Here is a 15,309-nt window from a genome sequence, read left to right as displayed (position 1 = left end):
GAGTTTATTAAGTATTATCTCACATGATCTCAAGGTCCCACAATAGGCCATCTGCAAGCTGAGGAGCAAGGAGAGCCAGTCCTAGTCCCAAAACTGAAGAACTTGGAGCCTGATGTTCAAGGGCAGGGAGCATCCAGCACAGGAGAAAGATGTAGGCTGGGATGCTAGGCCAGTCTAGTCTTTTCACTTTTTTTTTTTGCCTGCTTTATATTCTAGCCCTGCTGGCAGCTGATTAGATGGTGCCCACCCAGATTAAGGGTGTGTCTGCCTTTCCCAGCCCACTGACTGAAATGTTAATCTTCTTTGGCAACACCCTCACAGACACACCCAGCATCAGTACTTTGCACCCTTCAATCCAATCAAGTTGACACTCAGTATTAACCATTACAAGTCAGTACTTTGCATCCTTGAATTCAATTGACACTCAGTATAACTATCAGAAGTCTACCCATTGTCAACTTGAACCCGTATACATCTCCTGAGATCATACATAATCTGCAAATAAAGACAATAATAAGGTCATACAACTAACCTTACAACTGAAAACGCACCAGTCCCCAACCAAAATACTAATTACATAAAGTTAACAATACTTAAATGCTGATGTGAAGTCAGTAAATCTTATGTCACATGATAAAGGAGAATGGAAATAAAATGAAGATATTTTCTTAGTACAAGTATATGCATGCATGAACATGTTTTTGACAAAACAAGGAGGAAGTACTCACAACAATTACAGCCCTCGTTTCTGCAGCTGGACATGTGGTCATAGCTGGTATTGATGACTGCCTTCTGCTACCCATTGTGTATTCCCTTTGCCTTCAGCAAGCAACTCAGCAGGTCGTGGTTTTTTTCCTGGTGGAGTGACCCAATGATCTCCATAAGCGCCTACTTTAACTGGGGGACCACAATGTTGTTTTGGGTCCCCTGGAATCAATGTCAGCTCAGAGCCAGTGTCCAGTAGTCCCCAAAATGTCTTATCATTTCCCTTTCTTTTCCAGCCATTTGCTCTGATGCTTCCTCTAGCGTGGTCTGGGCTTTAATCCATTCCTTTCACATGTTGACTTGCCTTTCTTATCAGATTTTTTTTGCTTTGTTTTTTCCAATTGGAAAGATCTATAATATAAGCTTGGGTTCATGGTAATGGTTAATTTCACTCTCTCTCCAAACTATGTTATCTAAATATGATGATTACCTTGTTTTGTAGTTACAAATATGGCTACACTCCAGATCATAATATCCTCAGAAAGAAGTAGAACATTCACATAAAGTGTAGCTATTTGTTAAGATGCAGTTAAATGATTTCATATATGAAATTATTTGATGAATGTCTATTAATAAAAAATTATATTTCTTTTTGTTTTAGATTTTGGTTCTTTAAATTTGCTGCAGCAATTGCAATTATTATTGGGGCATTCTTCATTCCAGAAGGAACTTTTACAACTGGTAAGAAATCCTTTTTAAGTTGTTTGACATTGATATTTTATAAAGGAATCTGAAATAATTGTCACCTGGAACTATAATTGTTTGTCTTTTTGTTTGGGGGTGTGTGTGTGTGTGTTTCCCCAGTTGGCAAAATCAAGATGTTCATATAAAATTTTATTTTCCTTTTTGTGTACTGTGATTTTGAAAGGAAATGATAAAAATCAAACTAACCAATCACTTATGTATGCTTTCTTTCCCTTTCAGTGTGGTTTTATGTAGGCATGGCAGGTGCCTTTTGTTTCATCCTCATACAACTAGTCTTACTTATTGATTTTGCACATTCATGGAATGAATCGTGGGTTGAAAAAATGGAAGAAGGGAACTCGAGATGTTGGTATGCAGGTAAGCTTTCGTCGCAGAACAACTTCAGTATAGTTGAACTTTGAAGTCGAGAATAGATATGTAGACTAGGTAAATCACTTAGGATTTTTATGGTCTACTTTCCTATGATGAGGTTTTTAATTTAAACTTTGTGAGTGTCAAAATATCACATTGTATCAGCAACTTGGTGAGCAGATCTTTTAGCAGATTAACTGGGAACATAACCCAAGAACCAGGAAAGAATCCAAAAGAACCTGAATAGCTAAAATAAATGTTCCAAAGCATATTACTGAAAGCATGTGCACTTTATAGCCTAATTTTCTAGCCTACAATGGGTTAAAAGCAAAATATTAAAGGGAAGAGGATTGCTAGGAATAGATAAACACACAGTGATACAATTCATAAACAGCAGCAAATAAAAAATATAAAAAGCAACTCGGATGTTTTATTCAAGTGCAAAGGATGCTTTTATGTGCATCAATAACAACTAAAGGAATTCCTATAGTAATGTAATTAATGATTATTTATAATGATGATGTTGAGTCCTTTGGGGTTATACTTGAAAACAGATATCCCAATTCAAATGCTTACAGGGCCAAACCAGGTAACAAAAATGAGGGAACAGGAGGACAGAGTTTAAGTGCATAAGCTTTGTGCAAATAGACTACAATGAATTGGAGAGTATGAATGCCCCATCTAAAGTGCATTACTACTGCTCAGCTCCATTTATTAGTTGCCTTGTGGGAATGTGAACTTAGTATTGCTTGATTTTTCTAATGTTTTTCAAAAGAAGTCATAAATCTGGATTTTCATGCTAAATGACTGAGTTTCAGCTAAAAAAATTTTAAATTGGAGTGCAAGCCAAATCCAGTGTGTCTGCTGGCCTAATATTCCTCTCACACAACTAATTTGTGGTGTTTTATCTCAGTGGTTCAAGTTAAAATAATTTGGTGCTCAAAGAAATAAGCTTTAGTCATTTGGAAATTTCACTTACATTGAATACCTTGTTCTCTAAATGCAAAGTCTAATGCAAGGGTTTCTGTGTCTTTTGTTCCCTGCTGTATCCCCAGGGCCTGGAATGCAGGCATTCAATAAATATTTGTTGGATGGATCCCCTGTCAGCGAGGCAAATCTACATAAATACTTGTATATTAGGCACATATTAGCATAAAGGCTAAACAACTTGTGTATGTTGAAATTTACATAGAAAAAGCATAGGTTGACTTATTAAATAATGACTTACCCTTGCATAATATGTATCTTTTAAGATTTTAGTTCATGAGGAAAAGCATCATTGTTGTGAGGGCTTAACATTAATAATGAAAATAATTTTCTTAATGCCCTTGTTTACAACTGAGTGATAATGGTTCTTTAAAAACCTTAAGTAATATTCCTCTTATAGTTATTTTTCTTTATTTTGAAAATAATGGCTAACATGTAAACATAGTTTGTAAACTCTAATATAGATATTAGTATTAAATCCTATTAGTTTCTTACTAACTTGCCATCCTTGCAAATACATAATAGCTATGTGTAAAAACTAGAATTCTTCAGCAATAAAGGTCAGAATTAATTTTCTTTCCTGCTTTTATAGCCTTTATAATGCTGACAATGTTAGTTGCTTAAAATATATTTTTTGACAAAATGACAGATTGTTTATAAAACAGGTCCCATTTCTAATTGCTAATAATTTCTGATAAAAAGCTAATTATCCAATTATATTTCTTTCACAGCCTTGTTATCAGCTACAGCTCTGAATTATCTGCTGTCTTTAGTTGCTATCGTCCTGTTCTTTGTCTACTACACTCATCCAGCCAGTTGTTCAGAAAACAAGGCGTTCATCAGTGTCAACATGCTCCTCTGCGTTGGTGCTTCTGTAATGTCTATACTGCCAAAAATCCAAGTATGCCCTTTAAAGCATTAGTTTTTATGAAGCTTATACCTTTTTAAGTTTTCAAAAATCTAGAATGATGTCAGACTATTTACCTGTGTTGCTATATATATATATATATATTTTTTTTTTTTTTTTTTTGTAGGAATCACAACCAAGATCTGGTTTGTTACAGTCTTCAGTAATTACAGTCTACACAATGTATTTGACATGGTCAGCTATGACCAATGAACCAGGTGTGTTTTATTTATATTACATGTTCCTAAAGGTTCTGCAGTTGTTGTTTTTCCAGAAATTGTCTTTTTGTGAGATTAAATTACTTAAAAATTAGGCTTCTAGAGGAATAAAGTACAAAGTTTTGATCTTTGATGTATTATTTATTTCACTTAGTTTCTTCCATCACTAACAAAATTATAAGAAGGTTACATGTATACCTAAGAGAAACTGTGAGTTCAGTTTCAGAGCACCACAATGAAACAAGCATCACAGTAAAGCATGATTTTTTGGTTTCCCAGTGCATATAAAACTTTTGTTTATCTTACACTAGTCTGTTGTGTGCCATAGCATTATGTCTAGAAAAACAATGTACATTCCTTAATTTGAAAGTACTTTATTTCCAAAAAATGCTAACAGTCATCTGAGCCTTCATCAAGTTGTAATCTTTTTGCTGGTAGGAGGTCTTGCCTCAATGTTGACGGCTGCTGACCGAACAGGGTGTTGGTTGCTGCAGGTTGGCATGGCTGTTTTAGTATCTTTAAACTAAGACCACAATGAAGTTTGCCCATTGATTGACTCCTCCTTTCACAAAATATTTCTCTGTAGCATATGATGCTGTTTGATAGCATTTGACCCAGAGTAGAATTTCCTTCCAAATTGGAGTCAATCCTCTTAAACCTGCTCCTGGTTCATTAAGTAAGTTTATGTAATATTCTAACTCCTTTGCTGTCATTTCAATAATATTCATAGCATCTTCATCAGGAGTAAATTCCATCTCAAAAAACTACTTTGTTCATCCATAAGAAGCAACACCTCATCATTCAGGCTTGATAATGAAATTGCAGCAATTCAGTCACATCTTCAGGTTCCACTTTTTAGTTCTCTTGCTCTTTCCACCGTATCTGTAGCTACTTCCTCCACTAAAGTCTTGAAATCCTCAGTCATCTATGAGGGTTAGAATCAACTTCTTTCAAACTCCTGTTAATGTTGATATTTTGACATTTTTTCCCATGAATCATGAATGTTCTTAATAGCATCTAGAATGGTGAATCTTTTCCAGAAGGTTTTCAGTTTACTTTGTCCACCCAGATCTATCAGAGGAATTACTCTATGGCAGCTATAGCCTTACAAAATATATTTCTTAAATAATAAGATTTAAACGTTGAAATTACTCCTTTTTCCATGGGCTGCAGAATAAATACTGTGTTAGCAGACATGAAAATATTAATCTCCCTGTACATCTCTATCAGAGCTTTTGGGTGACCCAGGTGCATCGTCATTGAGTAGTAATATTTTGAAAGGATCTTTTAGCAGTAAGTCCCAACAATGGGCTTAAAATATTCCGTAACCCATACTTTCAACAGATGTGCTGTCATCTAGGCTTTTTTCTATTCATAGAGAGGCTGAATAGACTTAATATAATTCTTAAGGGCCCTAGGATTTTTGGAATGGTAAAGAACATTGGCTTTCTCTTAAAATCATTGTCTGCATTAGTCCCTAACAAGAGAATCAGCCTGTCCTTTTAAGCTTTGAAGCCAGGCATTGACTGACTTCTCTATAGCTATGAAAGTCCTAGATTATATCTTCTTACAATAGAAGTCTATGTTGTCTTTATTGAAAATCTGTTGTTTGGTTTGGCTGCTTTCTTTTTTCTTATTTTTATTTTTTTGAGATGGAGTTTCACTCTTGTTGCACAGGCTGGAGTGCAATGGCACAATCCCCGTTCACTGCAACTTCTGTCTCCTTGGTAAGCCATTCTCCTGCCTCAGCCTCCTGAATAGCTGGGATTACAGGCCTGCGCCACCACACCCAGCTAATTTTGTATTTTTAGTAGAGATTGGGTTTCACCATGTTAGCCAGGCTGTTCTCGAACTCCTGACCTCAGGTGATCCACCCGCCTCAGCCTCCCAAAGTGCTGAACTTACAGGCGTGAGCAACCATGCCTGACCAGTGTAGCTACTTTCATTAATTTTGTTGGCTAGATTTTTAGGATGACTTGCTGTAGCTTCTGCATCAGCACTTACTGGTTCACCTTATACTTTTATGTTACGGAGACAGTTTCTTTCATTAAACCTCAACAACCAACCCCATCTAGTTTCAAACTTTTCTTCTACAGCTTCCTTCTCTCTCTCAATCTTAATAGACTTGAAGTGAGAGAGAGGGCCTTGCTCTGGATTAGGCTTTGGCTTAAGGGAATGCTCTGCTGGTTTGATCTTCTATCCAGGTCACTAAAACTTTCTCCTCCATATCAGCAATAAGACTGCTTTGCTTTCTTATCTATCATTTGTGTGTTTGTGTTCACTGGAGTGGCACTTTTAATATCCTTCAAGAACTTTTTCTTTTCTTTGCATTCGCAACTCAGCTAACTGGAACAGAAGGCCTAGCTTTTGACCTGTCTCAGCTTTTGGCATGCTTTCTTAACTAAGCTTAATCATTTCTAGCTTTTGATTTAAGTGAGAAAGGGGACTCTTTTACTTGAACAGTTAGAGGCCATTGCAGGGTTATTAACTGGCCTAATTTCCATATGGTTGTGTCTTGAAATAGGCCCAAGGAGAGGGATAGAGACAAGGAAATGGCTGGTTGGTGGAGCAGTCAGAACACACACAATGTTTGTCGATTATTTCACCATCTTATATGGGTGTGATTTGTGGTGCCCGAAAGAAATTACAATAGTAACATAATAGGTCACTGATGAGAGATCACCATAACAGATGTAATTAATAATAATGACAAATTGTGAAATATTACAAGAATTACCAAAATGTGAAACAAAGTGAGTACATACTGTTAGAAAAAATGGAACCAATAGACTTGTTTAATGCAGGGTTGCCACAAACCTTCAATTTGTAAAAAGAACAGTATCTGTAAAATGCTAAAAAAAAAAAAAAAAAAAAATAGGCAAAGCACAGTAAAACAAGGTATGTCTATGTAAGAAACTGGGTGAAATTATAAGAAAGGTATCTGATTTGCATAGAGCATATAATTGTCGTATATAGAAAGAAAAACTCTTCAAATTCCTGTTGATTCAATTGTGAACAGTATAATTTTTTCACATTATTAAATTACTCTTTTAGCCTGTGACTACCTTACAATTGAATTTGATAATTGGGCTTTGTAATGCATCTTATTATAGGCTAGTTATATTGCATACCATGAGAATAGAAACATATGTTGAAAGGAGACAAATTAGAATAGACAAAAATTATTACCTATTAAAAAGAAGAAAATGATCTCTTTTCCTAAAAAATTTATCTGATGTTATATGAATCTCATTGAGTTTACAAACTGTAGGTATTTTATCATAGGTACTTTATAACTTGGAGACCAATTTATTTTTTGTTTTTTTGTTTTGATGTATTACACAAAGATTTCCTGTTTTTTTCCAGGTAGGTGGTTAGAAAAAAATTATTAGTAGTTTGCTTTAGAGAAGGAAATAGCCTTACCTAATTGGCTTTAAGGTAAGAATCATTTTCATTAGTAAGATGGAGTTTGACAGATCTGGCTTTGCAGGAGAAAAATATGTATTTTAGACACTTTAGTGAATATTTTAGCAATCCTACTTTTTTTTTTTTTTTTTGAGACAGAGTCTCGCTCTGTCGTTAGGCTGGAATGCAGTGGCATGATCTCGGCTCACTGCAACCGCCTCCCGGGTTCGAGTCTTTCTGCCTCAGCCTCCCGAGTAGCTGGGACTACAGGCACATGCCACCACGCCCAGCTGATTTTTGTATTTTTAGTAGAGAAGCGGTTTCACCATGTTGGCCAGGATGATCTCTATCTCTTGACCTTGTGATCCGCCCGCCTCGGCCTCCCAAAGTGCTGGGATTACAGGCATGAGCCACCGCACCTTGCCTACTTTCTTCTTTATAAAAGAATAAGACTTGAGTAAGCAGTAGGTCATTATACTTTATTGGGTAATTTCCATGAGGCATTTGCTGGAGTCCTTATAACTGGTTTTTGTGTAAGCTGTCTTGGTTTTTTAACAATGTGCTGTATCAAATTGATAAGCTTCATAAAGTCTGTATCATAATCTCAACATATGATAGAAAAGCCAGTGCATTGTGGTTTATAATCTCTGAATTTTCTTTCTAAATCTACTAGAATTATACTAACCTTAGAAAGTTCATCTATATTTCACCTCTTTCCTGATTGTAGAGGTAATTATCTCTCAGCTATCACATGTTGTTGAAAATTAAATGATTTAACTTTTCCAGGTACTTCTATAAAATCAGAACTATTAACACTTCAAAGGTCTTATTAATAAGTGCAAGTTTTCTTCAATTATTTTTGTTATACTGATGCCTTTTCCAGCAATTGTTTCTCAATTTGCAGGGGTATAGAGAGTTAAAAATAACTTTTGTTTGCTCTGAAAAACATCTTTTTAATATATTCTAACATTTTAATTTGGCTTTATATTACAGAAACAAATTGCAACCCAAGTCTACTAAGCATAATTGGCTACAATACAACAAGCACTGTCCCAAAGGAAGGGCAGTCAGTCCAGTGGTGGCATGCTCAAGGAATTATAGGACTAATTCTCTTTTTGTTGTGTGTATTTTATTCCAGGTAGGAAAAACTATGGAATTTTTTTCTTTAAACAAGAAGTCTAGCTGTTTATTTATGAATCATTTCTTTTAAAAATGTTCTTTTTTTTCTCTCCTCCTAAACTCTCTTTCATACAGCATCCGTACTTCAAACAATAGTCAGGTTAATAAACTGACTCTAACAAGTGATGAATCTACATTAATAGAAGATGGTGGAGCTAGAAGTGATGGATCACTGGAGGATGGGGACGATGTTCACCGAGCTGTAGATAATGAAAGGGATGGTGTCACTTACAGTTATTCCTTCTTTCACTTCATGCTTTTCCTGGCTTCACTTTATATCATGATGACCCTTACCAACTGGTACAGGTATTTATATTTCATGAAAACTCTGGATGTGTGAATTCTGATGGCATTTTATGATTCTCTTGTGAAACCATGATGTGATATGAAGTACTTTTTATCCTCTGATATATTTCAAAATGTACAGCTAAATGAATAGTGAGATCAGCATGAGAAATGCAGTCTTTACTTCCTTGCTTTAACAGTAACACAAACATTGAAATAGTTCCAAATCTTGGAGAGATTAAAATAAAAATTTTCATGAAACTAATACTTTTTACAAAAATCCATGTTGATAGTGGATCTAACATTTTTTTTTTCAATTCTGTAAAGATAGTGAAGTAAAGGATACATCCTTTTTTCTCTTTTGTTTGAACTGTCATTAAAAGCTCTGAAAATTTTTAAATTTAAGTATGAATTCATTAATGTAGATAGATTCTTAGAATTCTTACAAGCCACAATTTTTACAAGCTTAGAATTCTTTCTACAAGCAACAATTTCTACAAATTCTACAAGCTTAGAATTCTTACAAGCTACTTTTTTTTTTAATCACTTCAAACTTAATCCATAAATCTTTTTCTGTTAAAAGGAAGATAGTGATTTATAGTGTTTCATTTTTGAAAGTTCTGGTTTTGTCCAAATGATTACTGAAAGATTTGGTCAAAGATTCAAATTGAACTATGTGGTTTGGGAAGTTCTGTTTTTAATAACTTTTTAATGCATAATATTAATAAACAAATTGTAAGGCGGCTCTCAGTATCAGCAAAAGATGGAGGAAAAAGATTATTCTTTGTTGTATGTCTTTGAGTGCAGCCTTTACTGATTTTTATTATTGAAAAGTATATATATTTTTTAATTCTTACACTGTAGCGTATTAAGCTATAAGAATCCAGCTGGTTCTTTTTTTTTTTTTTTTTGAAATGGAGTCTTGCTCTGTCACCCAGGCTGGAGTGCAGTGGCTTGATCTCAGCTCACTGCAAGCTGTCTCCCAGGTTCACGCCATTCTCCTGCCTCAGCCTCCCGAGTACCAGCTGGTTCTTAACTCAGATCCTTGGCTGTCACATAATAGTAGATATTAAGGCTTTATACCAGAAGGATTTTGGTATATTTCATTAACTCAAAAATCACTTAAACTTGAGATATATTTCCTTCCCAGTCTCTTAATTCTTTCTTTTTTTAAGGAGATATCTCTGAGTCATACCAGTCTCTTAATTCTGAGAAGGGAGGGGCGGGGGAGGGGGTTGGGGGAGTGGAAATCAGGTGAGGAGTTCCATATACATCTTGAACAATCTTATGTAATAGTGACATCTCATTTATCCAGAGGTCACATTCAGTTCCTCTTCTGTCTAATAACATGGCAGACATGCATAAAGTGCTTCAGAGATTATGCAAAATAACTATTTCAGAGGCCTGTATACTTTACTCCATTAAAGGAAATAACAGATTTTTACCTTCACACTAGCAGTGTGGAAAGAAAGGGAGCAGATTAGATGCAGCAATGATATATCTGAAATCACAAACTGTATACAAAGCACGCTTCTGAATTAATGAAGCTTCATAGCTTGGTGGCTGATAATTCAACCCCCTTGCCCCTTTTTAATAATTTTCCCTGAAATTTTAGGTATGAACCCTCTCGTGAGATGAAAAGTCAGTGGACAGCTGTCTGGGTGAAAATCTCTTCCAGTTGGATTGGCATCGTGCTGTATGTTTGGACACTCGTGGCACCACTTGTTCTTACAAATCGTGATTTTGACTGAGTGAGACTTCTAGCATGAAAGTCCCACTTTGATTATTGCTTATTTGAAAACAGTATTCCCAACTTTTGTAAAGTTGTGTATGTTTTTGCTTCCCATGTAACTTCTCCAGTGTTCTGGCATGAATTAGATTTTACTGCTTGTCATTTTGTTATTTTCTTACCAAGTGCATTGATATGTGAAGTAGAATGAATTGCAGAGGAAAGTTTTATGAATATGGTGATGAGTTAGTAAAAGTGGCCATTATTGGGCTTATTCTCTGCTCTATAGTTGTGAAATGAAGAGTAAAAACAAATTTGTTTGACTATTTTAAAATTATATTAGACCTTAAGCTGTTTTAGCAAGCATTAAAGCAAATGTATGGCTGCCTTTTGAAATATTTGATGTGTTGCCTGGCAGGATACTGCAAAGAACATGGTTTATTTTAAAATTTATAAACAAGTCACTTAAATGCCAGTTGTCTGAAAAATCTTATAAGGTTTTACCCTTGATACGGAATTTACACAGGTAGGGAGTGTTTAGTGGACAATAGTGTAGGTTATGGATGGAGGTGTCGGTACTAAATTGAATAACGAGTAAATAATCTTACTTGGGTAGAGATGGCCTTTGCCAACAAAGTGAACTGTTTTGGTTGTTTTAAACTCATGAAGTATGGGTTCAGTGGAAATGTTTGGAACTCTGAAGGATTTAGACAAGGTTTTGAAAAGGATAATCATGGGTTAGAAGGAAGTGTTTGAAAGTCACTTTGAAAGTTAGTTTTGGGCCAGCACGGTAGCTCACCCTTGTAATCCCAGCACTTTGGGAGGCTGAGGTGGGTAGATTACTTGAGCCCAGGAATTCAAGACCAGCCTGGGCAACATGGTGAAACCCTGTTTCTATAAAAAATAATCTGGGCTTTGTAGCATATGCCTGTGGTCCCAGCTACTGAGGAGGCTGAGGTGGGAGGATTGCTTGAGCCCAGGAGGCAGAGGTTGCAGTGAGCCAAGGTCACGTCACTGCACTCTAGCCTGGGCAACAGAGTAAGACAAAAAAATATATATATATTGAAAATCAAAGGAGGCAAAATTTTGACAGGGAAGGAAGTAACTGCAAAACACTAGGCTTTAGTAGGTACTTATATAAAATCTAGTCCAGTTCTCTCATTTAAAAAAATGAAGACACTGAAATACAGACTTAAATAGCTCAGATAGCTAATTAGGAAATTTCAAGTTGGCCAATAATAGCATTCTCTCTGACATTTAAAAATAATTTCTATTCAAAATACATGCATAATTGATTTTACACCTCATTACTGGTGGATAATTTATGTGATGTGGATTGCTGGTGTCCAGCATGACCCATAAACAGGTCAGAAGAATGATGGAATGTTTTAGAATAAACTCCTGCTTATAGTATACTACACAGTTCAAAAGATGTTTAAAATGCTTTTGTATTTACTGCCATGTAATTGAAATATATAGATTATTGTAACCTTTCAACCTGAAAATCAAGCAGTATGAGAGTTTAGTTATTTGTATGTGTCACTAGTGTCTAATGAAGCTTTTAAAATCTACAATTTCTTCTTTAAAAATATTTATTAATGTGAATGGAATATAACAATTCAGCTTAATTCCCCAACCTTATTCTGTGTGTAGACATTGTATTCCACAATTTTGAATGGCTGTGTTTTACCTCTAAATAAATGAATTCAGAGAAAGTGTGTAGTGTACTGATTATTTAGCAGCTTAACTTTAGGTGGCCATAATAACATTTAGACCTTTCTTCCTATGTGAAAAAGGACCTGGCACTAGAAAGTAACTGCCTGTTTTCTGTAATGATAATTAAATTGCTTAGGAGATTGTTACCCTTTGGTTGTCTGTAAGTGACCCCAGAAGTAGGATCTCAAAGGTAAAGAGGCATTCTTCCCCTAAAGAGTCTTCAGTATATGGATCAGTTTAGTTTGGAGAATATTAATATATTTTCAGTGGATATTCTACATCTACTATGTCTTCCAGCTATTTTTTCTGGTTGCCAGTTTTGATGCTTGTCTTCTTCCACAGATACTTCAGATAGTATAAAAATTTCCCTTACTAAAAAAGAATGTACTTTTACTGATAAAATACTCCAACTCATGTTAGTTACCAAGCTTTAGTATATTTTATTCCATAATTCTTGTGAAGTGGTCTTTCTCCAACATTATCAGCAGCACAATGCCCATAAAAGTATTGACTGTTTATCCCAGATAAAATCTTATGTTCACATAAAAACCTGCACATAAATGTTCATAACAGCTTTATTTGTAACAGACAAAACTGGAAACCCAGATGTCCTTCAATAGATGAATGAAAAAACACACCAGTAAACCTATACCATAGAATACTACTTAAAAAAGGAATGAACCATTAGTACATGCAACAACATGAATGCTGGGTTTTAAAGAAATCCAGTCCCCAAAGATCACATATAATTCCATTTATATAGCATTCATGTAATGATACAGTTATAGAAATGGAGAACAGATTAATGGTTGTTTGGGGTCAGAGATGGGAGGGGAGAGACCTTTGTGGATCATGAACTATGCCTTTGGTGTTGTATCTAAAATGCCACTGTCAAAGAGAGGACCATCTAAATTTCCTTCTATGTTTTCTTTTAGGAGTTGTATACTTTTACATTCAGTTCTGTGATCCATTTGAGTTAATTTTTGTGAAGGGTGGAAAGTCTGTGTCTAGATTCTTTTTTTTGCATGTGGATGTCCAGTTATTCCAGCATCATTTGTCAAAAAGACTATTTTTACTACATTGTATTGCCTTTGTCCTTTCGCTAGGTATCAGTTGACTAAATATGAGTCTGTTTCTAAACTCTGTTCTGTTTCATTGATCATTTGTCTATTCTTTTGCCAATACCACACTATCTTATTATAGCTTTATATTAAATCTTGAGGATGAGTGCTATCAATCATTCCTCCTTCAGTGTTGGTTTTCTCCTTCAATATTGTGTTTGCTATTCCAGGTTGTTTGCCTCTGCATATAAACTTTAAAATCAGTTTATCAAATATCCACAAAATATTGCTGGGATTATGATTGGGATTACATTGAATCTATAGATCAGGTTGGGAAGAACTGACATGTTGACAATATTGAGTCTTCCTATCCATGAATATGAAATATCTCTCCATTTATTTGGGTCTTTGATTTCTTTAATCAGGTCTGTAGTTCTCATGTAGATCTTATGTATATTTTCTTAATTTTTACCTAAATATTTCATTTTGGGGTGCTAATATAAATGGCATTGGGTTTTAATTTCAAATTTGAGTTATTACTGTTACATAAGAAAGCAGTTTACTTTCATATAATAACCTTGTATCCTGCAACCTTGCTGTAATTGCATATAGGTTCCAGGAGATTTGTAATCAATTCTTTTGGATTTTCTACATGAATGATCATGTCATCAGCTAGCAGAGACAATGTTAATGTTATATGTCCTTTCCCAAGTAGTGTACTTTTTATTTCCTTTTCTTGTTTTATTGCATTAACCAGGACTTCCATTAGGATGTTGAAAAGAAATAGTGAAAAGAAACATCTTTGCCTTCCTCCTTAGTAGGAAAACTGCTAAATTTCTCACCATTAAATATGATGTTACTGGTTGGGGATCTTTGGTAAATATTCCTTACCAGGTTGAGAAAGTTCCCCTCCATTCCTTTTTTATGGAGAATTGGAGAATTTTTTTTTTTTTTTTTTTTTGAGACGGGGTCTCACTCTCACCCAGGCTGGAGTGCAGTGGCGCAATCTCGGCTCGCTGCAACCTCCGCCTCCTGGGTTCAACCAATTCTGCCACAGCCCCCCGAGTAGCTGGGATTACAGGCGCCTGCCACCAAGCCCAGCTAATTTTTTGTATTTTTAGTAGAGACAGGGTTTCACCATGTTGGCCAGGCTGGTCTTGAACTCCTGACCTCAAGTGATCTGCTTGCTTCAGCCTCCTAAAGTGCTAGGATTACAAGCATGAGCCACTGCGCCTGGTCTAGTTTATGGAAAATTTTTATCATGAATGGGTTTTGGATTTTGTCATATTTTTCTGGATCTATTGATGTGATCATATGATTTTTCTTGAGTTTCTTTATGTGATAGATTCTATTAGTTCATTTTCAATATCTGAACCAGCCTTGCGTATCTGGGATGAATCCCTCTTGATCCTGGTGTATAATTCTTATACATTGTTGAATTGGATTTGCTAATACTTTATTGAGGATTTTTACATCTATGTTAATTAAAGACACTGGTTTGTAGTTTTCTCGTGATATTTTTGTCTGGTTTTGGTTTTAGGCCTCATAGAATGAGTTGGGAAGAATTCCCTCTGCTTCTACCTTCTGAAAGAGTTTCTACAGAATTGGTATCGTTTTTAGAATTCACCAGTGAACCCACCTCAGTCTAGCATTTTCTGTTTGGGAAGGCAATAGATTCAATTTTTAAAATAGATACAGGTGTTATTTGGAGTATCTATTTCTTCTGGTGTGAGTTTTGGCAGGTTGTGTTTCAAGGACTTCTTCGTCATGTAGGTTATCAAATTTGTAGGCATACAATTGTGATACTCCTTTATTACCTTTGTTACGTCCATGGGATTTACAGTGATATCCCCTCTTTCATCTCTGATATTAATTTTTGTCTCTCTCAGTCTGGCTTGACAGAGGTTTACTGATTTTATCAATTTTTCAAAAACCAGCTTTTGGTTTTATCAATTTTCTCTGTTGACTTCCTGATTTTCTGCTTGATGGATCTCTTCATTC

The 15,309-nt window shown here is 35.3% G+C and overlaps 1 protein-coding gene across 1 annotated transcript in view; it reads left to right on the top strand.

Moving 5' to 3' along the window:
• SERINC1 (serine incorporator 1) overlaps nt 1-12,246 on the top strand; it is a 28,457-nt gene extending 16,211 nt beyond the window's left edge. Inside the window, exons 4-10 of the mRNA NM_020755.4 lie at nt 1,367-1,446; nt 1,690-1,827; nt 3,540-3,709; nt 3,843-3,933; nt 8,332-8,476; nt 8,593-8,823; nt 10,418-12,246. Coding sequence (NP_065806.1) covers nt 1,367-1,446; nt 1,690-1,827; nt 3,540-3,709; nt 3,843-3,933; nt 8,332-8,476; nt 8,593-8,823; nt 10,418-10,553 — 991 coding nt within the window. The 3' untranslated portion in view covers nt 10,554-12,246. The remainder of the gene's footprint in view (nt 1-1,366; nt 1,447-1,689; nt 1,828-3,539; nt 3,710-3,842; nt 3,934-8,331; nt 8,477-8,592; nt 8,824-10,417) is intronic.
• The last annotated feature ends 3,063 nt before the right edge of the window (nt 12,247-15,309 follow it).

Source organism: Homo sapiens, chromosome 6 (genome assembly GCF_000001405.40).
Source record: "Homo sapiens chromosome 6, GRCh38.p14 Primary Assembly".
Taxonomy (NCBI): Eukaryota; Metazoa; Chordata; class Mammalia; order Primates; family Hominidae; genus Homo; species Homo sapiens.
This window is presented reverse-complemented; position numbering and strand designations above follow the sequence as displayed.